We start from the raw sequence: 27,197 nt of genomic DNA on the forward strand, positions 1-27,197 counted from the left end.
TCATATACTTATCAATACAGCTAAAATTTAAAAAATAGTTGTTAAAGATGTGGAGAAACTGGATCACTCATACATTGCTTGCAGGAATGTAAAACGGTTCAGCTACTTTGCAAAACAATGTAGCAGTTTCTCTAAAAGGTAAACATATACTTTTCATACAACCTAGTAACTGTGCTCCTAGCATTTATCACAGAGAAGTGAAAATTTATATTCATACAAAATCTGTATATGAATGTTTATAGCAACTTTGTAATAGCCAAAAACCAGAAACAATCCAGATGTCCACTAATAGGTGAATGGTTAAACAAATTGTGCTACATTCATATCATAGAATACTACTTGGCAATAAAAAGGAACGAACTATTGCTACACACATTAGCCTGAGAATTACATGGAATAAAAAAACAGTAATCTCAAAAGCCTGTATACTCTATGATTCCATTTATATAGCATTCTTGAATTGACAAAATTATAGAAATGGACAATAGATTGGTAGTTGCCAGTGGCTAAAGAGGGTGTTAGAGCAGCAGAGGAGCGAGTGTGGCTATAAAAGGGCAACATGAAGAGCCTTGAGGTGAACCAAATGTTTTATGTCTTGACTATATCAATGTTAATATCCTGGATGATATTTTACTGTAGTTTTACAAGATGTTACTATTAGGGAAACTAGATAAAGCACACAAAGGACTTCTCTGTATTACTTCATATAACTGTGTGTAAATCTACAATTGTCTCAAAATAAAAAGTTTAATTTAATACATAGTAGCTATATGTTGCCTACCAAAAATACAACTTAAATATAAAGCCACAATAGGTTAAAAATAAATGGGGGCTGGGCACTGTGGCTCACACCTGTAATCCCAGCACTTTGAGGGGCTGAGGTGGGCAGATTGCCTGAGGTCAGGAGTTCGAGACCAGCCTGGCCAACATGGTGAAACCCTGTCTCTACTAAAAATATAAAAATTAGCTGGGTGTGGTGGTGGGCACCTGTAATCCCAGTTACTCGGGAGGCTGAGGCAGGAGAATCACTTGACCCCAGGAGACAGAGGTTGCAGTGAGCTGAGATCATGCCACTGTACTCCAGCCTGGGCAACAGAGCAAGACTCCATCTCAAAAAAAAAAAAAAAGTAAATGGAAAGAAAATATATACTATACTAACATTAGTTTAAAAAAAACAAAGCTGGATTGCTTATTTTAATATAAAAACACATATTTCAAAGAAAAGAATATCACCATGGATAAAAAAGATTATTTCATAAGATAAAGAGATCATTAATCATGAGGACATAAGATCTTAAATATGTATGCCCCTAATAATAGAGCTTCAAAATGTATGAGGCAAAAATGGATAGAGCTGCAAAAAACAATAGAAAAATTCACATAGTTAGAGATTTTAATACCTCTCTTTTAACAATTGATAGAACTAGTGACATAAAATCAGCAACGGTATAGTTGACTTGACAACACTATCAATTAACTTGACCTAACTGGCATTTATAGAACACTCCACCCAACAAGAGCAGAATACACATTCTTTTCAAGTGCACATGGAACATCTACCAATATAGATTATATTCTAGGCCATAATACTAATCTCAACAAATTTAAAAGGATTCAAGTCTTACAAAGTATATTCTATGACCATAACACAGTTAAAGCAGACATTTAATTATCTGGAAAATTAAAAAATATTTGGAAACTAAATGCCACTTTTCTAAATAACCTATGGGTCAAAAAAATCAAAATGAAAATTAAAAAATATTTCCAATTGAATGAAAATGAAATCACAGCATATCAGAAACTGTGGGCTAATGTTAAAATAGGACTCAGGAAGAAATGTATAACACTTAATGCCTATGTTTAAAAAATAAGAAAAATCTCAAATCAACAACCTCATCTTCCATTGTAAGGAATTAGAGAAAGAAGAGCAAATTAAAACTAAAGTAGGCAGAGAAAAGGGAATAAAAATTAAAGCAGAAATCAATAAGCTAGAAAACATAAAAACAATAAAGTAATTGAAACCAAAAGTCAGTTCTTTGAGAGTACATCAATAAACTTCCTAAACCTTTAGCCAGGCTAAGAGAGAAAGCATAGGTTACCAACATCAAACATGAGGGAGATAACATCACTATAGTTTCTACAGATATTAAGTGGATAATAAGAAAATATTATGAACACTGTTATCACTATACATTTTGTAATTTAGATGAAATGGACAAATTCCGTGGAAGGCACAAACTACCAAAGCTCACTCTAGAAGAAACAGATAACCCGAACAGCCTTAGGTATATTAAAGAAATAGAATTTGTAGGTAAAAATCTTCCCATAAAGAAAAATCCGTGACAATAATTCTTAGGTGAATTATACCAAACATTTAAAAAAGCATAAGGCCAATTCCACACAAACTTGTCCAAAAAATTGCAGAGGAGAGACTATTCCATGACTCATTCTATGAGGCCGGCATTGCAGTGATACCAAAACTAGACAAAGATATTACAAGATAATTATCAACCAATATTCTTAGTTTGTAGAAACCAATCAATATTCTTGGTTAGATGTCAACAGTCTAAACATTGCAAGCCCCATATTGGAAACATCTCCCAAAAGTACAGCAAAAGGTGAATGGAAAAACAAATTGTGATATTATCCACACAAGGAAACACTACACAGCAATATAAAGGGATGAACTGTTAACACACATGACAACATACATGAATCTCAGTGTTGCTGACTGAAGGAAGCCAGACACAAAAGAATACACACTGTATGATTCCATTTACATAAAACTCTAATGTAGCTGCCTAGAAAGGCCCTACCTCTCTGCGGGTCTTCTTAAGGCAGTAAAAATTTACAAGTATTAATGGAAGAGTAGTGTTCTCTCCATAAAATGTTCTCTTGCAGATCAGCAGTTGCCTAGGGACAAGGATGGAGGGATAAGGAGGAGAAGGGGATGAGGAAACTTATTGGTGTGACAGGTATTTTCACTATCTTGATTGTGGTGATGGTTTTATACTTTGTTATTTTTTACGTTTTCTTTTTTTAAGAAAATTTATTTCAATAGCTCTAGGAGCACAAGTGTGTTTTGTCTACATGGATGAATTGTATAGTGGTGAAGTCTGGGCTTTAACTCTACCCATAACCCAAATAGTGTACATTGTACCCAATAGGTAATTTTAAAAAATTCCTCCCCCTTTCTGAGTCTTCAATGTCCATCATACCACTCCATATGCATTTGTCTACCCATAACTTAGCTCCTACTTATAAGTGAGAACATGGCAGTATTTGTTTTTCCATTCCTGAGTCACTTCATTTAGAATTATGGCCTCCAGTTCCATCCAAGTTGCTGCAAAAGACATTATTTTGTTCTTTGTTTTGGCTATTCGATGGTATATTTCATGGTATGTGTGAATATATTTATCACCTTTTCTTTATTCACTCATTGGTTGATGGACACTTAGGTTAATTCTACATCTTTGTAATTGTGAATTGTGCTGCAATAAACATGCATGTGCCTATTGTCTTCTTTATGTAATGACTTCTTTTCCTTTGAGTAGATACCCAGTACTGGGATTGTGGAAACAAATGACAGATCTACTATTGAAAAATTTCCCTACCATTTTCCATAAAGGTTGTACTAATTTACATTCCCACCAACAGTGTGTAAGGGTTCCCTTTACACTGCATCCATGCCAATATCTACTGTTTTTTGATTTTTAAATAATGGTCATTCTGGCTGAGGTAAAGTAGTATCTCATTGTGATTTTAAGTTGCACTTCTTTACTTTAGATGTGTGCAGCTTATTGTATGGCCTATGTCTCAATAATGCTATTTTAAAAAATCTTATTTTGGAAGAAAATCTTTACTCACACCTCAAAGTAACTAGAGAATTTTTAAGGTGAGTACCTATGAGTTTTGGGAAGTACAACTTGTATTTTTACCTGCTTCCAAAGCACTCTTCCCCAGAATGCCTGTCCTGTGTTATTAGACGGTTGAAAGTAAAATTAAAATCCTAAGATAATTTAGGTGCATCTGATGTTTAGTGGTTCCATGCAAGAATTCCTAAAGACTCTAAAGATATCCAGTTCTGAGATTCTCCTTAATCTACATGTGTGAAAAGTGTAAAAGCTCTGGTATAATTGTGCTGTATATGTCAAAAGGTAGTAGACTTTTATATAGCTTGTTAATAAATATCCTGAAACCATGGGAGTTGTAACACACTGTACAGTTTGTGCTGTGGTGGTGGTACAGAGTAGAGTTAGATGGAGAAACTGTAAATTTGAGACTCTGGGGGAAACTTTGAGTTCAGAAATTAGGACAATTCAGGCTTGTCACCAGGGAATCCATGTTTAGAAAGCAGGGTAAGGGACACATCTATTTTAGGAGTATTAGGGAGACAAAATAGGAAAGCAGTTGAGTTTGGAGTGGGAGTCGGTAGAGAAGTAGTGAAATGGGACAGTGGGATAGATCTTGTTCCTCAGTAACCAAGGGAAATGAGAGAACTTGTTCTTACCATGGACTCAAAAGTAAAAAAAAAAAAAACAAAAGATATGATCACAAAAGCTGTGGGGCAAACTCAATGATATAGGTACATTCTAAAATTCTGTTTCATGTATTAATCTGGGCACATGTAGCTGAGTGAGGCTGTGCATCTATAACCTGAATAACTACAGATAGGAGACCTTATTCAATCTTAGAAAATGTGGTTTACACAGCCCTGCAAATAGAGGAATATGAAAGTACCATATGCTTTCTATCAAGACTTATTCACAATGTGATACTTATTCCTGTCACAAATGCCAACCACATTGCTCTAGAATATTATTTAATTTTCAATGGCTTTTAAAATTCTTCTTATTAAAATAGAACATCTTATGGGTACCACTCTTCCCTTAACACATGGAAATTCTTATTGGCTTAAGAAGACCTTCAGTGAGGTAGGGCCTTTGTAGGCAGTTACATTTTATTGAGAGGATACAGTCCAACCATTTGAAGCTGCTATTCCTATATTCAAAAATCCAGGGGGGTTCCTACAGCTTTTTAATTTTTTATGCCTATATTTTTCCTGCAGTAGGTTTCCTACAGTTTCTACCACAAAATTCCCACATTGTGTAGCAATACAGTTTTAAGTGATGGACACAGAATAAGGACACAACAGAGGTAAGGGTGTGAGACAAAAGAGCCAGGGGAGAAATCCTGCCTCTGGGATCTTGCTCCAAAAGAGAAACCTCTTCTCCCCTAAAGGTTAGAAATATCACCCAGAGAGAACCTTCTCTCTGGGGGATTACTATGGAGAAGGCTTTTTACCAAATCAAGCATATTAAAGCCAAAATCGATTTTATCTCACAGATAATGATTTTCACAAATATCACTGTAAAGTTTCTAATGTTATAGCAGTACTTAGAACATTGTATTAACTGAATGTGTGTGTGTGTGTGTGTATTTTTTCATGCTCGTGGCGTGTATCAGTGATTTTCATCTTCTTTTTTGGTATGTGGTCATCTCAAGCTGCCCAACGAATGTTTTCACTTGACTTCTGTTGATACCTCCAACTTAACCTTTAAACAAAATGTCTACTGACTTTCCTAATTCCCTTTATTTGCTCCCTCCCTCACTCCCTTATCCTGCTTAGGCAGCCAGTCATTCCATTTTGTTAATCCTTCCTTTGTTATTTCTCTCACATTCATTTCTCTTTTCATTTTTATGGTAATCCTTTATTTAGGCCTTGATTATCTTGTGCTTATATCACACATACACAAATTGGTCTTCCTTTTCAGAATACAAATTGGTCTTCAAGGGTAGGTAGTGCAGAGACTGGATAGAGGAATGATTTTCCCACATACCAAATGAGGCCAAGCAAGGTAAGGTCAGACCAAGATAGGTGAGCTATGTTTGGGCAGAGTGGGGCAGAGGAGTTTGGGCTCTAATCCCCACCTCTTGGAAATTGGAGATGGGGGTGGAGATGCTTAGTTCCAGGCAGGATGAGGTGGGTCAGAGGAGCATATCAGGGATCCAGGGTGGAATTCCTGCTCCTTAGTATCTGCAGGTTAGAGTAGGGTCAGTCCCTCTAGATTCTGTGCCCTGCCCTTCTGGCTAAACACTTATCTTTCATTTATTTGTGGCTAGAGAGAGTACTAGAGAGACAGTAAAAGTTTGTTGAGGACAGATATTATACTTTTTCTTATAACTTACATGCGTGACATGGTATTTTATAGGTGATTTATAATGCTGCTATTAGAGATATTAATAGTCTTTATTTCAGAGTTAAATCTTTCAGGTCCTCTTTGAGACCCATCTGGCTCCCTTTGGAGATGATTATTTGTTAGATTATTAATGTTTCCTTGAGTCAAATTACATATTTTAGAGTTTATGGGACTTCCTCTGCTAAAAAAGGATACTATCTTCAGGAAGCAATGGATCCTAAAATTGACTTTGAAACACTCAACAATTTGCCAGCAACAATACTATATATCATCTTTTTAAAGTTTGTGTTTGACGGCATAATTTTTGACTTATTTCTCTCAGGATTCAAAAAAGAAAAATTTTGACTCATTTAGCCATGAAACAAAGGCCTTTACTTCTCAAGATCAAATCTAAGTTTTCCATGTTAACGTCCCTCATAATCTTGTCAAGCGCTATATTTTAAGGTATTTTAATTGACATAAATGTTCCCGAGACTTCTCACCAATACCAATTTGAACTTTAACACTGAAGGTGTTTAGCAGTCCTTGTATTTTCAAAATTAGAAGCCTTTGCAGGAGAAAATATTCAAATACAAAATTTCAACTTCTGCTTCAAACAACCTATTTTGTTACAAATAAGTGTTTCTGAAGAACCTCTTAATACTTTTCTGTTACCCCCCTTATCTGTTAGTCTGCTGAGACTAGATATTCAAATATTCCAAAAGCCAGAGTGTATGCAAGTTCACTTTCATCTCACTTGTCATAGGAATTTAAACATTAAGCCTCAAAGTATGGCACCCTATATGTCTTTTCAAAAACAACAACAAACAACCACATTGTGACTACTAGATGAGGTAAAATTTGTAATAACAGAATCAAAAAAGTCAACCCTAACTTTTCAGCGCTTGAACTCCCAATCACCCCCACTAAAGGCTTCTTCGTTAACCTTGAATCATAAGAATCACTGATCATCGAGTAAGTAAGTGTTCGGGAGATATGACTGTGAGATCCAGCTTTGTAAATAATTTCTGGATTTTTGGGGCGAGTCATTTCATCTCTCTGATTCTTAATCTCTTCACTTAAAAATGAGGGACTTGGAGTATCAGATGATTTCTAAATTTCTTCTTACTCAAAGTCTATTATTCTGATCCCAAAGAAGAAATCGAATCCTTCTCAATACATCCCAAATTGGATATTCTGGATAAGAAATTTTGAAACCAAGTCACACGAAGAGTATGTGAGGGATAAGAAGTCTAGTTTGGGGAAGGGTAAACATTATGTACGAAAAAGAAATGTCTTAAAAGAAAGCAGGCAGGGTGAGCGAGGAGGCTGAAGAGTCGCTCCATAAACTGAGGCAGAAGGAGCAGCCGACAGCAACGCCTACCGCACCCGGAAGGCTCAAGGAGGCGCCCTGGGCAGGGAACTTCCGGTTGCGGGGAAGGGCGGCGTCCTCTCCTAGGGACTTGTCGCACGCGGCTTCTCGTCGCGTTCCGTCTTGCACGCCTCGCAGCCTAGCTCCGCGCGAGTTCCAGGCGCTCAGCACCGGAGCAGCGCCCCGGCAACCATTGAGGCGTCACGGTTCGTCACGGGATTCGGAGCCGGGCGGCTACGGGCGGGGTGTCGCAGCTCTCTTCGACGTACCTGTCCTCAGGAGCCGCGGCGGCGACTGCGCCTCGGACGGCCGTCGGGGCCGAGAACCATGAGCCCCAGGGGCACGGGCTGCTCCGCCGGGCTGCTGATGACTGTCGGCTGGCTGCTTCTGGCGGGCCTCCAGTCCGCGCGCGGGACCAACGTCACCGCTGCCGTCCAGGATGCCGGCCTGGCCCACGAAGGCGAGGGCGAGGAGGAGACCGAAAACAACGACAGCGAGACCGCGGAGAACTACGCTCCGCCTGAAACCGAGGATGGTGAGGGCGGGAGCTCCCTTGCGGGGCACGCGGAGGCCCCTGTTGACGGAGCAAAGGCCTGCTCTTTGCCTGAGAACCATAATTATGTGTGTTAACGTCAGGAGAGCTCTCTCTCATACTTCAGCCCCGAGTTTGTCCCTTTCTTGCATCCTGTGGCCTTGAAGAAGAATGTGCTCATTCTCCCAGGCCACAGCAAGATACACAGATAAGCACGTATATAGAAATTGCTATAGAAACACTTCTAAATATTGCTTTGGACAAGGAAAAAGATTTTTTTTCAGGGTGGGAGGTAGCCTTCCAACAAGAGGAATCATTTTGACTCCTCTTGCAGTCACTTTCCCTTCTCATAGTAGATTTTTTTTTTCAAGTTCCAAGTTGCTTGATTTCCACATTTGCACTTGGGGTTGCAATGGAATTCAGAATCCCCCTTTACGACGATACACCCAGATAGACCAGTATGCCGACAAAACTGCCCAGAAGCCCCATGGCAGCTTCCTGCAGCTCCTAGCCTTGAGCACCTCTGCATTGTGGTGTTTGATTGGTATGTGCGGCCTCGGACAAAGGAATGGAGCAGTAGAAAACACCTGTCAAGGGATCCAGCTAGTGGCTTTGTTAGATGCTACATATTAACCAAGGAACAATGAGCCCCCCGCTTGGTACATACATTTGCTTTTTTTTCTGCTGGCTCATTAAGCAATAAAACTTGACAGGCTGTTGTACATGTCATATTGATTAGTAACTCACATTCTAGCAGGTAGAAGGTCAGCAGCAGGTTTGCTGCCTTCTCAAGAAAGATTATTCCTTTCCCTTCTAAATGACCCAGCTGCAATTCTTTTAATATTGTTTGCATTCTCATATCTCTTCAGTCTATACATATCGAGTGACTGCTGTGTCTACCAGCCTTTCTTTCATTTCCTGATAGTGATCCTCAGCACCAACAGAAAGAAATGAACTGTCTGAGGTTAACAGTGGGATCGAGGTTTGCACGGCCTTGTAACATTATACTACAGAGAGCTTAAAAAGATCCTTGACTTCGGAAATGTGAAAAAGAAAGATGACTAGGAAAGAAGAGAACACGTCCTAAAGCATAGTAGCTATTGCTTCATTCTCTTCTTTAAAGTAATTGAATTAACAATTTTAGTATTAAACTGGCCAAGAAATACTTCTAGCTATAAAATGCTAAATATTATTTAGGCTAAACTCAGGCAATAAAGTTATAATGTCTTACCTTCAAATTAAAATGTAGGTTAGTTACTTATTCTCTGAGTCACAGTTTCCTCATCTACGGACTTCAAGGAATCCATGTACTTTGTGGGATTTTAATACATACTATTTCATGCATAAGTGCTTTTTCTTGGGGAGCGAGAGAATCCAAAACTTTAAACAATCTGAGGTGTTATAGGTCTGAAAATTTCCAGAACCATTATTGAAATTTGCACTGTCCCCTTAACCCTCAGTGGATCAGTAGAAACAGTTATCCCCATTTACTATCCAGTGGACCTTTAATTTTTTTTTAGTCATTTAAAAATAATTTACAAATAAGAATAAAGGGATAGTGAAAACAACTGTGTTAGAAATTTCAAGAAGAATTTAAACATGGAAAAATTCAAATTTTTATTCCATATATCCTAGTTTTGAAGGTGTATGTACTCTAACTGGGCAAAGTACTTTGAATGCAACTAAGTGCTCAACTGTTAAGCATGAACCTGGAATGCATTCATCATGTTAATACTGATTCCAGATTTTGAGTGCATCGTTAATAAATTCTAGCTTATCATTAATCTTGGTTCTTTTTGCACTTGTATTGTCAAAAAAACCAACACTTTTGAAAACTACAAAGGCATATATTTTGTTGAAGAGAAAGCCATCTTCTTTTCTTCATAATTGGAAAATATTTTCATCTTTAGATTTATAAACACCAATTAGAATGATTGGTCCAATGAATTTTACTCATTTCTACATAATCTTTTCTTTCAGTCACCTTTATATACATATCTTTCATCACAATATGTTCATTTACAAACCTTGGCAAATAAATGTTGGTGCATAAACGTTATAAAAAGGGAAAGAATACCGTCCTCATCCTTTTAGCGAAACAGTATGGCACAAGTTATTGTCACAGTATATTTCAGGATTAAATCTTTCCTGTTGTCAGGCTAACTACATGATAATACCATATATTCTTTTCATCCCCAGAAATATAATGTTTACTCATCAATTCTTAAGTTAGAGAAAATTCATCTAGTATATTCATCCAAGATAATCATCATCTCTCATTGAGATTTTGCTTATACAATCAATTTCATCATCATCATTAGCATCCAAAGTGCTGTTATCTGTCTCTTTTCATCTTCTGATTCGTTCAATAATTGTGAAATGTTTTTCTCTGTCAGTTTTCTTCTCTTTGCCATTATGGGCAAAAAATGAAAAATTGTGAAATCTCAACTGTGTTCAATAAAAGCCAAAAATAGACTACAAGGAGGATACCTCTAGACTTCTTTTGTATCTTCTTGAAAGATGATGCAATATCTTGGGCAAAGCAATATGAAAACATGGGATGTTGTAAAATAGCTTGTGTTAGTGTAATTCTTTCACCATTACATTATTTTTCTAGGCAATTCCAATCATTCTTTCATTTTTAAATTTTAGTCATTTAAAAATGTAGTTGAAAATAATGAGCAATACCATCATTATGGATGATGAAATATCACAATGTTTCAAGATAAAGAAAAATCATTAAGATATTAGATTTATGGCCAGGGGCGGTGGCTCACGCCTGTAATCCCAGTGCTTCGGAAGGCCGAGGTGGGCAGATCACAAGGTGGAGATCGAGAGCATCCTGGCTAACACGGTGAAACCCCATCTCTACTAAAAATACAAAAAATTAGCCGGGCGTGGTTGCGTGTGCCTGTAGTTCCAGCTACTCAGGAGGCTGAGGCAGGAGAATGGCGTGAACCCAGGAGGTGGAGCTTGCAGTGAGCCGAGATTACGCCACTGCACTCCAGCCTGGGCAACAGAGCGAGACTCTGTCTTAAAAAAAAAAAAAGATAATAGATTTATATCCTTATACTTTTGTTATACCTTGTATACCATGTAATATACCTTTTAAATATATCTTTTATACAAGTATACCCTTAGATTTATAAAAAGGGGCCAATAGACCTACATAGTAATTGCAAAATAGAAAGTTGTAGTCTATACAATGGGTTTTATCCTATACAAATATAACTATATGTTATTTTTGTCTTGGAATACTTCTAAGGAAGAACAGAAGTCATAAAATATCAGCCTTTCAAATCAACTGTCAGAAACTGAAAAACTCAAATTGCACTCTGATGATATATACCAAAAGTTACCATGTGCTGTCCTGAACTGAAGAGAACATTTCAGGATCTGGCCACAACTAAAAGAGCAAGATCATTTTCCTTATCACTGTGGATGCCAGGCTTTTGTTAGTGTAGTCTAAGACCCAGTAGATTTTTAGGGAAGCCTCTGCACATCTTTGATTCCTATTGAATTCACTATTGAACTCTCCATTCGTTTTTAACTGTCCTATCAAATTAAGACCACCCATAAAATAGTTTTGGACAGTTGGCTTTTTAGCTGTATGTGAAGGACTTTTTATTCCTACAAGGTTTCATTTTGTTAGATTTGCCCATTATTTCACCCTGTCATCTTTTAGATCCAGATGTATCATCAAATATATTTGCTATCCTTTCTAGCTTTGCAGAATTCTGGATTCAGTCAGCATGATAACAGCATCTTTTTCCAGGTCATTAATAAAAATGTTGAACAGGACAGAGCCCTGTGACACATCACTCCTACCATGTTGACACCAACTGGTTAATTAACAACTGTGGTCTTAGAGTTTAAACAGTTTCACATAAAACTACTGACATTCAGACCATATATTTTTTTTACCACTCATAGGTTTATAACAAGAAATTTTGACAAATGCCAAACTGAAGTCCAGTTACATACAATTCCACTGACCCACCATTGTAGGATTCCCATTTTTAAAAAAAGTTACTGAGTAAACTAATGGACACTCAATACATCATAGAATATTAAAGCTGAAAGGGACTTTAGAAACTTTCTTATTTAGTCTCATTTTTTTTTTCTTTAAGGAAACAAGTTGGAAGAAATTGAACAACTCTCCCAAAGTAGAATGCCTAGTGATTGACTAATGGTTTTTGAAAAAGGCTTATATTTAAAAGTAGTGCAGCACTCATTCTCTTAGCCGTGTTTTCTATGTTCAGGATTTGGCTTTTAATTTGTGTCTCATAATGTGTCTGTAGAAGGTATCTAAGCATTCCACAATTCAAAATGGATCATCATGATAGTCTAAATCATTTATTTTCGTTAAAGAAATGACTTAAAGTCAATATTGATTTACTTATGTGCATTGGGTGCTTACTGAGTATGCAAGATACTATACTGGGGCTGGGCACGGTGGCTTATTCCTGTAATCCCAGCACTTTGGGAGACTGAGGCTGGTGGATCACTTGAGGTCAGGAGTTTGAGACCAGCCTGGCCAACATGGTGAAACCCCGTCTCTACTGAAAATACAAAAATTAGGTGGGCATGGTGGCGTCTGCCTGTAGTCCCAGCTACTCAGGAGGCTGAAGCAGAAGAATCACTTGTGCCTGGGAGGCGGAGGTTGCAGTGAGCCGGGATCATGCCACTACACTCCAGCCTGGGCAACAGAGCAAGACTCTCTCGGAAAAACAAAAACAAAAAACTATATTTGGTGCTCTTAAGTACAGAATAGTAGTGTTTATGAAGCTATTTTGAGATTTTACAGTTATCAAAATAGGGGAAAAAAACATTAAATTAATAAGTACAAAATGAGTTTAAATTGGGTAATTATATCTTAAGTATGTTTGTAGTACTAAACAATTTATAGAATGCTTTCACACACATTATCCTTATTTAATTCTTACAGCAATCAAATGAGGATTTTCCTTTCCAAATTTTGCAGAAGGGTTAACTAAGCCTGACAGCATTTAATTAAATTTGCTTAAATGCAAACAGCTAATTAGTGATAGAAGCAGCTCTTTGGACTCCAGTTCGATGTGTTTTCCATGCGATTTGTTGTCCTAGGGTACAATGCCTTTTGAAAGTCATCTTCTAACAACTCACTTTATATTTTTTCTATTGAGACTTTCGTCCTAATTTGAGCTGAAGAATTGCTTATATACTATAGCTAGTGGAATTCTATGCCAAACTTCAAATGATTAGAAAAAGAGAAACATATGATTTAGAACCAACAACACTTAATTTCTTAAATAGTGATATATTCCTATACTAACCTTGTAAAGTGTTGAAATAAATTCTTAGAAATATTTAAATTTACCATCTTAACCTGGGAAATGAGTAGAACTAATCTATAACTTTTATCATTTTAATGAACACTGGTTAAGGGCTTCTTTTTGAATGGAAATTATACACTCAATTTTGGAAAATAGAGAATAGAAAACATTGGTTTTTACAACAGATAGGGCTTTGTGTGTTTTTCTGAGACCCTCTATCAAGTTTTGACTCACTATATATCAACTGATGAAAAACATTTTTAAGGTATATACAAAGTTTAAATATAAACCTTCCTATTAGGTTATTTCCTAATTTAATGGACTTCTTTAGAGGTTTGAGACTCTTTTGAGTTAGACAATAACAGTACTCAGAATGGCATTGTTTTCTGATTTAAATGGAAAACTTAAAAAATGTCTGCTGCCCATATCATACACATGTCTTTCATCTCCAAGTAAGAGGTGTTTCACTTAGAAAAGTTTTCATATAATTAAATAATGTATCTTTACCCTTTATGTTTAGTTTCAAATAGGAATGTCGTCAAAGAAGTAGAATTCGGAATGTGCACCGTTACATGTGGTAAGTAGCTTGGAGCAGATGAATAAACCATGTTGTAATTTGCGGGGGAGGAAAGGTAAAAGCAGATAGTGTGCAACTTTGTAACTTGTGTACTTTCATGCATCTCTCATGGATTTTTATTTCTAATAACTATAATGTATACACAAAACTCAGGGTGATTGCTTTAAACTGTAAGATATTTTCAGTTTATAATCTCTAAATCTTATTTTAAGCCAGCTCCCTATTTTTTTTTTTTTTGCACATAAACTGCCTTCACCAAAGTAAAATTTTCTCTATCTCACAGATGTTCAGAAGACGAAAGATTTTCCAATGCATCTCACAGATGTCTTCCCACATATTGTGTTGGCAAATTTATCAAGAATTTGCTTATTTGTAATAGTCCATTCTAAATTCTACATTTCTCCAATTTGCGTGTCATGTTTTGGAGAAAAGATGTATTGGCTTTGTGGGGAGGATAATATTCAAAGAATATGACTTAGTCTGATCATTCCATGGGTAGAAATTGGACATAAAATTTCTCTAACAAGTTTACAATGAAGTTGATGCTGCTAGTTAGAGGACTATCCTTTGAGAAACAATGCTGTAGACCAGGGTACTGAGAAGACCATAGATAATTCACAATCAAATTAAATTTCTTCTAAATAGAATCTGCCTTGGAAAGAAAATAGTGATGAGAGGGAAAACGGGACAATTATCAGAGGATAAGAAGACAAAATCCATTCAGATCTAGATCAGAATGAATTTTGCAGGGGTGGCGGTGTCAAAAATTACACCTGAATTGTTTTTATTTGGAGAAGCTTTTTAAAATTGTGGTACAGTATACCCAACATAAAACTTACCATTTTAGCCGTTTTTAAACATACAAGTCCGTTGACTTAAGCATATTCACATTCTTGTGCAACCATCACAACCGCCCATCTCGAGAACTTTTTTATTATGTCAAACTAAAATGCCCATTAAACACTAACTTCCTGTTCCCCCCTCCTCCCAGCTCCTGGCAACCACTCTTCTTTCTATCTCTTAAAATTGTTTTAACCTGTTTTTTTTTTTAACCTTAATTTCTTAGTAAGTCAAGAGTCATAAAATGAGAGAAATCCATGTAGTAAGCCTGCAATTACTTATTTGTGGTTTACATCTTTGTTTAGCTACTAACTTCGGAAATTTTCACAGGTAGAGAATTATTTTTATGACAGTTCGAGTAATTGCCATTGTTTTCTATTATTTAAAGACAAGTTTAGAAATTGTACTCACTCAAATGATTATTTTTTTAAAATTATTTGCCTACTATGTGCCAGGCATCGTTATAGATGCTAGGGATATGAGCAGACAAAGCAGACAAAACTCTCTGCCCCCAAGCAATGTATAGTTTAGTAAGAGCAGACACATAATATGTAAAACATGTAATGTATCAGATGGTAATAAGTTATAAGGAAAAAAATAAACTAGGAAAAGCAATATTTCATGCCGAAAATGTTAAAAACCTTCCAATTTAGAACTAGAAGAGAAAAATGCCTTGATGAAAATTCTGTTAAACTCCTGAAACAATATTTTAGCAGTCAAAAAGTTTTCTTTTATATCCAGGCAGATTTTTAGATGTTACTTGGTATTACAGAAAATCCCACACCTACATGCATCTCAGTGAACTGTATTTAGCTAAATAAATAAATACATAAAATAACTGCTTTAAGCCGGGCGCGGTGGCTCACGCCTGTAATCCCAGCACTTTGGGAGGCCGAGGCGGGTGGATCACGAGGTCCAGATATCGAGGCCATCCTGGCCAACATGGTGAAACCCCATCTCTACTAAAAATACAGAAAAATTAGCTGGGTGCGGTGGCACATACCTGTAGTCCCAGCTACTTGGGAGGCTAAGGCAGGAGAATTGCTTGAAGCCGGGAGGTGGAGGTTGCGTGAACTGAGATGGCACCACTGCACTCCAGCCTGGCGACAAAGCGAGACTCCATCTCAAAAACAAAACAAAACAAACAACAACAAAAAACCTGTTTTAAAAATATTAACAATAGCATGTTAATTACTTCGGAATTAAGGCTGTGCTTCTAAAGACGCTTTCAGGTTGGCCGTGGTGGCTCATGCCTGTAATCCCAGCACTTTGGGAGGCTGAGGCTGGCGGATCACCAGGTCAGGAGTTCGAGACCAGCCTGACCACCATGGTGAAACCCTGTCTCTACCAAAAATACAAAAATTAGCTGGGCGTAGTGGCACGCGCCTGTAATCCCAGCTATTCAGGAGGCTGAGGCAGGAGAATTGCTTGAACCCGGGAGGCGGAGGTTGCAGTGAGCTGAGATCGCGCCACTGCACTCTAGCCTCTGCAACAGAGCAAGACTCCGTCTCAAAAAAAAACTTTGATAAACTCAAGTGGAGCCGTACTTCAGCCATTCTCAGCCATCATCTCTCTTAACCAAAGACCTTCTTCCTTCCATCCTTCCATTTTCTTGTTTCGTATGTAGCCTTCTCCCTTACTATTCAACGTGCGGTCCACAGACTGCATCAGTATCACCTGGGAGCTTGTTAGAAATGCAGAATCTCAAACCCATTCAAGAACAGCTGAATCAAAATTTGCATTTTAGTAAATCTCCAGGTGACTTGCATGCACTGTCAAGTTGGAGAAGCAGTTATAAGACACCTCTAGTCATCAACTTCCCTTTGCCCTCTAAGATAACATCGTAGAGGGGCTGGAAGAGGAAATCTGGTAATTAAGGAAATAAAAATGGACTCTTTCTTAGCCTGTCTTAACATGGGACACGGTTCAACATGTAGCTAATCCCATGTTTTGTTATTTCTCTCAATTGTGGTGATGTGAGGCCAACTCTGGAATTCTGAGATCAGTTAGGAGAGTTAAGTTCTTGTTACAAAAAGTGTGACAATCTAAAGAGAGCATCTTGTTGGAAATGGAGATTTGGTCAGTAATAGGTTCTCCTCTCTATATTTAATACAGACATTTTATGAATCTAAATATTTAAAGGCATCATTTATGCTAAAATGTGATTTTTTATTTTCCTCCAGAAACTTTCCCCATGCTTCCCCAAAAAGTTCCATGGTCAAATAAGTTTGGGAAATATTGTATACCACTATATTCCATCAAATCCACGAATTTATGGACTGTAAGAAGTACATTTTATGTACTCTAAAAAGGAAAAATACTGCCAATTAATTTATGACATGTTATCAATTGTAAATGTATTCTGATTTTAAAGATGTTAAAATGTTTTTACATCTTAGATCAATGCGAATGTACACAATAGCATGTTATTTTACTAGTGTATTAAAAGTTCCCTCAAAATTCCGTAGTAAAGCGGTCCCTTTAATTTCATTTGATGTAACATTTTCAAATGTGTATGATCATGGAATCCTTTTTCTTATGGTAACCAGAGGAACTAGTGTTTCACGTAACTCACTCCAGAAAATGCTGTTTTAGGAAATAATTCAAAATGAAGAGCCAAAAAAATTTTAAGTGTTATCGTTCTGAATTTAGAAACTTAATTTCTGAAATTAGAAGAAAAGTCTTAAGAAAAGACCTAGGTGGGAAAGTGAAGACACTCTGGAATCAGTTTTTTTCTTAACATTTGCCTTTTTAAATTTTAAACCAAAGGTATTGGTGTTAGAGAAGTTATATTAACAAATGGATGCCCTGGTGGTGAATCCAAGTGTGTTGTACGGGTAGAAGAATGCCGTGGACCAACAGATTGTGGCTGTGAGTTGAATTATGTATTGGAGGGAGACTGTGGGCAAGAGTTTACTCTGGGGAAATATTTTTCACCTCAGGTTGCCACTGAGTAGAAGGAGGCAACCAGTTGACATACTCAAAGGAAATCATAAAATTTTAAATTCCACTTCTTCAAACAGTTATAGTTCTGAGCAACTTTCTGATTTTGCTTCACATTTTTTCAGAGACATCTAAAATTGAACATATATTCTCTATAATACACTGGAGGCTTACTGTATATAGGGTCTATAGTTGAGGCTGTCCTGTGGCGAAATGCTTTTGATGCTTTGGTCATGTCATTTTGTCAGTAGATTGGTAGACTTTAAAATGGGAACTTTGACAGCTGTTCCATATCACATTATGCTGTTCTGAAATTTCAGTATCTCTAATGGGAGTCCCTAACCAGTACATTGGAAGCCACTAATAGATCTCATAGTTTAGTCTAACAGATCAGTAGGTCAATTACAACTTATTCTGCATAAGGAGCAGAGAGCCATGGTGTCTCCTCACCTGCTTCTTTTGGTGACTTTATCTTTGCACCTATCAGTCTTCTGTTCCTCTACACTCAAACTCCTAATTATGTTTGATAACTTCCAGCATATAGTTGATTTTTAAAACTGGAGGTTGCTTTTTAAAGTAGTATTGTGACACCTGTAATCTTAGCACTTTGGGAGGCCGAGGCAGGAGGATCACTTGAGCTCAGGAGTTTGAGACCAGGCTGGGCAACATGGTGAAACCTCCATCTCTACAAAATTTTGTTTTAATTAGCCAGGCACAGTGGCATGTGCATGTAGTCCCAGCCACTTGAGAGGCTGAGGTGGGAGGATGGCTTGAGCCCAGGAGGCAGAGATTGCAGTGAGCCAAGATCATGCCACTCTACTCCAGCCTGGGTGACAGAACCAGATCCTGTCTCAGGAAAAAAAAAAGTAATTTCGTGTATAAAGCAATTTATAATGCCCAATGGTATTTATGTGCTTAATTTTTTTTCAGGGGGTAAACCAATTTCAGAAAGTCTTGAAAGTGTTAGATTGGCATGTATTCACACATCTCCCTTAAATCGTTTCAAATATATGTGGAAACTTCTAAGACAAGACCAAGTGAGTAATGAATGGATATAACCTGGTGCTTTCTAGTGAGTGATAAAATTTGTTTCTCAGTTCTGATGGCTTTCAGAAAACTTTCTTTTTAAAAGCAGTTTGCCAAAACGAAGTTAAGAATTATACAACTTTATTATTTTGGAATTTTAAAATTTTCATTATTTACTAGGACTAAACTTTACATAAGTCTAAGGGCCAGCTATAATCAGAACTTTAAAACGTCTATTTTACACAAAGTATTCCATTTCGGAAGGAAGGTTTTCATTGGCTTATATAGGAGTTGTATAATGATAGCAGTGGCTAACATTAATTAAGGGTTTATTAAGTGCCAGACATGACACTGAGTGCTAGAGCCTTTTTTCATCCATATAACAATTCTCTGAGGTAATCACTATCATTAAACCCATTTTTACAAGTAAGTAACTAACTTGTCCACAGTCACACAGGCAGGAAGTGGTAGGGTTGGGATTTGAAGTCTGGATTGTGTGACTGAAAATCCATGTAGATCATTAATTACTCAACTAGGCTAAGAGAGACAGTAACCCTCCTTTCCTTAAGGGAAATAAATTGTTTCCTGGTAAGTGTACATGAAAAATGTTGATACTTTGTTATTTTTTTCTTTTTAAATAGCAATCCATTATACTTGTAAATGATTCAGCAATCCTAGAAGTACGCAAGGAAAGTCACCCCTTGGCTTTCGAGTGTGACACACTGGATAATAATGAAATAGTAGCAACTATTAAATTCACAGTCTATACGAGCAGTGGTAAGTGTCCAGCAATGTCTTGGTTTGCTTATATGCCAATCTTTAAAGAGCATTAAAATCACTTAGAGGCTTGTTAAAACACCAGTCTCTAGCCCTCCCCCCAGAGTTTCTGATTCAGTAGATTTGGGATGGGACTGGAACAAGAATTTCCATTTCTAACAAGTTGCCCTGTTGCTGCTGGTCCAGAGACCACACTTTGAGAACCACTGGTTTACATCATTTAGACTTTTCTAAAAGATACTACTTAATTTCTTTTTCACAAAGTAGTCACAATTTCCTCACTTTGGGAAACTGGTGTATTTCTTAAGTGTTTTCAGAGAACAGTCCTCTAACTTGAATTATATTCTTGCTTTTACTTTCATTATAAAAGTGAAAATGGATAAATGGAATTCTCATGGATGCTTATGAAAATTTTCATTCAGTAAAGTAAATAAAATTAAGAAATACGATGTCAAAGTATGACTCTTTAAAAATTATATATTTGAAACAAATGTTTTTTGATGAAGCACTAATACAGTTCTCAAAAATGTATATATCACAAAATGCAAATGTTGTCCTGAATGTCATTTTATGTATTAGAAACCATATTTTCCTTGTGAGATAGATCCATTTGCCTATATTCAGTTTAATCTATGATGGCTTACATATCCAGGTAATTATTTCCTTTTGTTCAGCTGCTCTTAACTGTTCTAATTGTTGTTATCAAATTTGTTGTTAGGGATGTGGGGACTTGGTCACAAGTTCTTTTCAGAATCCTATCAAGGCTCAGGATCCTTTTTCCAGAAAAATGTCCACATACACAAATATGCCAAAAGTTGCATGTAACTTTAAAGGAGTTTTTGGACTTCTTGAAGCTATTTCTGAACACAAAGAGCTTCTGCTGTAGTTTAAAGATACCGCACAACGTAACCATTTTATTGAAATGAAAACAGGTTAAAATATTTTAGGGTGATTTTAAAAAATAAACTACTATTTAAACTTCCTTTGATATGCTGTTTAATGAGTTTAGAAACATCTTCATGGTGAAAGCTAATAATCTTATTCCTCTATTGGGATATCAGGTGTCGTTAAAAGGATCATTTTCAATAAAGCTCTAAAAAAGGCAAGAGAATAAAAACATCATTAAACTAAAAAATATCTCAACTAGCCCTCGTTCATGATATTAAAGGTGTGTGGAGCCATTCTCAGTCTTTGTCCTACTATCTCGTCCCTGTTAGGACAATTCAGTGTGGTTAACTCCTCTCATAATTAGAAGGGAGCATGCATTTGGTAATGTATATGTTAAAGGCTGGAGCACAGACCCTAAAATGTCAGGCCTTTATTGAGACAAAGTTAACTTCTCTCTCTCATAGCAGCAGTCCAGGAATGGTGGGATAGCTCTGCCATCTCAGTACGTGCACTGATTGAATGACAAAATATTTTAAAAACACTCCAGTATCTACTAATTTCTTTAAACATGACAATTGGGTACACCACTGCAACAGACCCCTTTGGCTGATTAGAAATCAAACAAATGTTTTGGCTAGAAATGTCTACACAATATGGTACTAGCATGAAACAAATATGTAATTGAGATATTTTTAGGGTAAATATGGTTTCCCTAGTGAAAAATTCTCATCCATTCACTTAAATATCAGATTTTTCACTCCCACAATAGTTGTCTTTCATAATTAGGCATTGTTAAAAAAGATACTTTGAAGTACTCAGAATGTGACTCTATTTGGAAATAGGACTTTTTACAGATGTAATTAGTTAAGATGAGGTTGTACTAGAGCAGAGTGGGCCTTTAATCCAATATAACTGGTGCCCTCATAAGAAGAGGAATATTTGGGCATGCTTGTGCGCACACACACACACACACACACACACACAAACACAGATGGAAAGTGGGGCGCGGAATGCCAGGTGAAGACACAGAGAAACAGACATAGGGAGAAGACAGCCATGTGAAAATGGAGACAAAAATTGGAGTTATGCTACCAGAATCCAAGGAATTTCTGAGCCTACCAGAAGCTGAGAAGCTGTAAGAGACAAGGAAGGATCCTCCCCAAGAACCTTCAGTGAGAGCATGGCTCGGCCAACACATTGTTTTCAGACTTCTAGCCTCCAAAACTGCGAGACAATACATTTCTGTTGTTTTCGTCACCCAGTTTGTGGTACTTTGTTATGGTGGTCCTAGGAAACTAATAAGTACATAAGCTTAGTTTATCTAAAAGGTGAGAGCATCAAATTTAGCCTATTTTTCATTAAATACTTCAATAGGAAATTGAGCCTATTTTTTTCATTACCTGTAAAAATAGTCTAGGTGACCCTTGCAAGACTACTGTTGTAATAAATAAAATCTTCATGCCCCTCACTCTCCACCCTCTCTCAGCTAACATTGCAGAGTAATGGATAAATGAAATTTGCATTTCTCCTTGTCAGGTGTCAGTTCTGAAAGGTGTTTTTTATTTAAGTTTCCAAAATGCCACCACTTGTGTAAATCTAAAGTTATTTTGAAATAAAAAGATTTTTAAAAATCCAACAATGTTGGAACGTAAATATAGATGTATTTTCTCTAGCATACTTGGAACTATTTAGCGAGATCCCTAACTTGAGTTTATAGCTCTAGAATTACTAGGCAAAATGGAAACTTATACTCCATGATGTCTAACAGATAGGGAAACAAATCCAGAAAAATAAGCAGTTGAGATTGCTCATATAGAAGACTAGTTCTGACAGAGTAGTACTTATCAAAATCAAAGTATTTAAATAGTCAAAATATACCTTGTACAAATTAAACCTCCCTGGGCCTTGGTTTACTTATCTGTATAATGCAATAGTTGGATCAGATGATCTCTGTAGTTCTTTCTTCCATGAATCTTTTATGATTCCAGAATTTGGGGTCATAAAAGAGATACAATAAAGCTATGTAATTCACAAAGTAAGTAATATTCTATGTTAATTGGCTTTTTACTAGTTTACAATGTAGCAATACTGTAATACATACGGTAGATTGGCTTTGTCTCTTTGATAACCTTATTTGCTGAAAGAGCAGAGAGACATGGGAGAGAATGCTTGAGGTAAGAGTGGTGCATGAGGTGGGTACAGTGGTGTGTGCCTATAATACTAGCTACTAGGGAGGCTGAGGTGGGAAGATCACTTGAGCCCAGGAGTTCAAGGCCAGCCTGGGCAATATAGCAAGACCCCATTTCCTAAAGAGAGAGGGGTCGGGGTATGTGGATATGTGTATAGAAAACAATGAGCTTCAATTCCTTTCTTACAGCAAATATAAAAATTAGAGAGGTATCATAGTCTTAAGTGTAAAAGCTAAACCCATAAAGTTTTAGGAAAGAAATATAGGAGACTATTTGCATGATTCAGGAGTAGGCAAACGTTTCTTAGACATAATTCAGAAAACAATCACCATAAAAGGAAACATTGAATAAATCAGACTGCATCAAAATTAAAAACTTCAGCTCATTAACAAAAATCATTAGGATAATGAATAGGCAAGCCAAAATCTGGTAGAAAACATTTATAAAACCTGTACAGTCAGTACAATCAGTTTGAGAAAGTTCTCATGGTTTCTTAGACAGCTAAACACACATCTGTCTACCCTACGACCCAGCAATTCTATTATTAGACATTTAGCCAAAAATTAAGATATATATTCACAAAATGACTTGTATAAGAATGTTCATGGCAGCTTTATTTATAGTATCTCACAACTGGAACAGCCTAGATATCCATCAGTAGGAGGATGAGTAAACAAATTGTGGAGTATACCTAGTAATAATAAAAAAATGATAGTTGCATATAACAGTATGGGTGAATTTCTAAAACATTATTCTAAGTAAACAAATCTTTACACAAGAGATTACCTAGTGTGTGTTTCAATTTATATGTAGTTCTAGAATAGTCAGAGCTAATCTATGGTGGAAAAGAAAATCAGGATGCTTGTTGCCTCTGGAGGATGAGGAAGGAGTTAATTAGGAAGAGGCTCAAGGGAACTTTCTGGGGTATAGTAATATTCTATATCTTGACTAACATTTAGTTACATATATGAGTTTGCCTTTGTCAAAACTAAGCAAATGTACATTTAAGATCTTTGTGCAATTCTTTGTGTGAAAATTTTATTTCAAAGAAAAAACTAATATTAAACTCCAGTTAACGATATGCTTGCTGAAAAATTTTTGAGGAAGTGTACTGACATTTGCAAATTATATTGAAATGCATAAAAATAAGATGGATTAATGAATTGATAGAGGAATGGATAGATGAATTTTAAAATATTAATGGTAGTATTTAGATGGTGGTAATACAGGCTGTTCGTTGTCAAATTCTTTTAACTTTTTTCATGTTTGAAAAGGACATTTCAAACATGCAGAGCAAGATCATTAATAATTTTCTCTGCACTAAGCATTTCTTTATGTTTCTAGAGTTGTTTTTCAAATATAAACTTTTAAGTTAGATATTCATTTCCTTTTCCTCAGTAGTAATACTCCTTAGGTTTGTGTGTTTTCTCTAGAATTGCAGATGAGAAGATCAAGCCTACCAGCCACTGATGCAGCCCTAATTTTTGTGCTGACCATAGGAGTCATTATCTGTGTATTTATAATTTTCTTATTGATCTTCATAATCATAAATTGGTAGGTGAATAGTGGAATGCATCATCACCCTTGATTGACATCCTCTTCTTCCCCCTCCTCATCCAGTGAATTGCAAAGCCCTGTCCGTGATGTCTCCTACATGTTGCCTTGAAACTGTCCATCGCCTTTCATTACTCCTGTGACTGCCCTAGTTCAGGCTGCCCCGTCTCTTTATGTAGATGCTTTTTAAAACAATCTCATGACTTGCTTCTCCAACTATGAGAGAGCTTTTAAATGCAACTTTTACAATTTTACACGGTAATTGCTTTAAAAAGTTTTATTTAATGAATATTTGTGTTGTCCAGTTGTGGTTCTCTCAACTCTAAAACTTGGTTATTGTAACCTACTAATTCATTTGTATGACAATATTTATAATACCTACATGAGTAGTACACCCTGGTAAGTCTGAGGGCTCATATACTATCGATTTGTAGCTGATGCATCGCAAACTAAAAATGAATAATGAATACAAAGGCACTTCTTAGAGAAGAGGTAATATATATGTTTTATATATATGTACATATATATGTACATATATTGTATATACAATATACATATATCTTCTATGTACATATAATGTATATACAATATACATATATCATATATAGGTCATATGTGTGTACCAAATATGTATGTAGTATATATTATTTATATATAATATATAATATACATGAGTATATAATATATGGGTTATATAATATATATGTAGATATATGTATGTATAACATATATATTACCTCATATCTAAGAAGTGTCTTTTTATTATTTTGTTTGTGATGCATATATATTACATATGATTGTGTATACATCACATATATATGTAGTATGTATGTATATGAGCCCTCAGGCTTACCAGGGTGTAATGCTCATGTAACTATTATAAATATCATCATATATATTACATATGTATATTTCTACCATGTATACACACATATATTTGAACCGTATATGTATACAAACGTGTATTATGTATATACATACATATACATATATGTATGTATGTGTATACATATATAGACACATGTATGTAATATATATGTATCACAGACTAAAAATAATGAATGAAAAACACTTATTAGAGAAGAGGTAATATATATTATATTTACATGGATGTATATATAATACATACATAATATTATATACAGTATATATTATATATACATATAGTACATATGACCTGTATACAGTATATATACTATATTTACATATATAATATATATACCATATATACTATATGTACACATATAATATATATACTATATTTGCATATATATTATATATTACCTCTTCTTTAAGAAGTGCCTTTTTATTCATTATTCATTTTTAGTTTATGATGCATCAGCTAGATGCATCATCACAATGAATTGTCTGGAAAATGATTTTGTTATGTATTGTAGGAAATCCACTGAGGACTTTAAGTAAAAACAATTGTTTTCATAAAGTTTTCCAAAAGAATTATTTTTTTGAGTATGTCCCAGACCCCCCACCCCTGTAAAAGTATTTTTAAAAATCAGCCTTCCGATTTTTTTTCCTGAGTAGGTATAGTCATGTAACCTTAGTGTAGATGCTGAACATTTTTGAATAGTAATTTTTATCATTATAATTTTTTAAAATTTTATTTATTGAGAAAAAATTTGAATACAAAATGTATGATTTTTACCATTTTAAAGTATACAGTTCAGTAGTCATAAATACGTTTATATTCTCTTTCCTTTATAATATACCTGTAATATAGCTGTAATGTAATGTACCTGTAATATATATACAGGTACAAATATGTATACAGGTTATATGTATTTGTATATGTACAGGTTATATATATTTGTACCATATATAATATATACATACAGGTAATACACACACACACATATATATATATTTCTATACATAGAAAATATAGAAATCTATTCAGTTTTAGTTTTCACTTCATATGGTGGTTTTGGTTTTTGTTTTTTCTTCCAGGGCAGCAGTCAAGGCTTTCTGGGGGGCAAAAGCCTCTACACCTGAGGTACAATCCGAGCAGAGTTCTGTGAGATACAAAGATTCAACTTCTCTTGACCAATTACCAACAGAAATGCCTGGTGAAGATGATGCTTTAAGTGAATGGAATGAATGATGTTTGAATGATATATAACAAACCAAAGGATATTACAGAATATTAGATTCATTATTACAAAAATAAAATACACATTGAAATACTTTAATAATGTTGCGATGGATTGCCACAGTGTGAAGGAAATGCAGTGTGGGGATAGGACTATTTTATCAGTGCATTTTTCCAGTACAGTTATCAAATATTACTTTTAATTTGTTCTCAACACTTATTTCAGGTAATAGCTTGGGGATATTTATCTAAAGGTACCCCCAACAAATCTTCTAAGTGCATTTTTGATCACTTTGATAACTTCTTAGGTGATTTGCCTGTTTTGTCTTAAATAAGAACAATGTAATATAGAAATGCTTTACATATTAGACTTTCTCTCCCCTGGAAGCACTGGGTTGAACTTGCTAAAGTAAATCATACTTTAGAATCTCTTCAGGGAATGTGACATACAAAGTTTGTAAGACATGAAGTAATAACGATAATGATAACAATAAATGCTTACTTAGTGACTACTATGTGCCAAGCATTGCTCAACCTATTTTCCATATATTAGGTGACTTAAATATGATTGTATATAGGAAATATGTAAGGAAGAACTGGAGAGGAACTTGGAGGTGCCTGAGGAAATGACATGAATTTAACACGTCCTGTATTTCTCAGAGAAGCAGTGAGTTAAGGACTTTTGAATGACCACTGATAAGTACCTTCATTGTTCTTGGTATACAGGTAACATCTCAGAACCAAGGTACTTATTTTTGAACATTATCACTGCCTTTTTGTTCTGTGTAATTGTGTGATACTGTTATGGCCAACTATCAAACAAGGTACCAAGACATTAATTTGATTCAGTAGACTTCATCAGAAATGAATTTTCAGAGGTTATCATGGTAGCACAAAATAC

General features: G+C 35.7%; 1 protein-coding gene across 4 annotated transcripts; it reads left to right on the forward strand.

Annotated features, from left to right (window-relative positions):
* Positions 1 to 6,873: 6,873 nt before the first annotated feature.
* Positions 6,874 to 26,811, forward strand: SPACA1 (sperm acrosome associated 1). 4 transcript variants are annotated; one of them, XM_011536160.3, is made up of 7 exons: positions 6,874 to 7,158; positions 13,919 to 13,975; positions 17,585 to 17,686; positions 18,689 to 18,795; positions 19,426 to 19,561; positions 24,072 to 24,192; positions 26,155 to 26,811. In XM_011536160.3, the coding sequence occupies exons 2-7, from the start codon at positions 13,957 to 13,959 to the stop codon at positions 26,306 to 26,308; spliced, it is 639 nt and encodes a 212-aa protein (XP_011534462.1). In that variant the 5' UTR covers positions 6,874 to 7,158; positions 13,919 to 13,956; the 3' UTR covers positions 26,309 to 26,811. The 4 variants fall into 4 exon arrangements, with proteins under 4 accessions (XP_011534462.1, XP_016866824.1, NP_112222.1 ...); XM_017011335.2 differs by having other exon boundaries at positions 6,874 to 7,154; NM_030960.3 differs by lacking the exon at positions 6,874 to 7,158 and adding an exon at positions 7,814 to 8,086.
* Positions 26,812 to 27,197: the final 386 nt, after the last annotated feature.

Source organism: Homo sapiens, chromosome 6 (genome assembly GCF_000001405.40).
Source record: "Homo sapiens chromosome 6, GRCh38.p14 Primary Assembly".
Classification (NCBI taxonomy): Eukaryota; Metazoa; Chordata; class Mammalia; order Primates; family Hominidae; genus Homo; species Homo sapiens.

Coding starts and splice junctions, on each gene's coding strand:
- SPACA1 (NM_030960.3), top strand. CDS start 7,879: ATGAGCCCCAGGGGCACGGGCTGCTCCGCCGGGCTGCTGATGACTGTC. Junction 19,562..24,071: donor CACAGTCTATACGAGCAGTG/GTAAGTGTCCAG, acceptor TGTTTTCTCTAG/AATTGCAGATGAGAAGATCA. Junction 24,193..26,154: donor ATCTTCATAATCATAAATTG/GTAGGTGAATAG, acceptor TTTTTCTTCCAG/GGCAGCAGTCAAGGCTTTCT.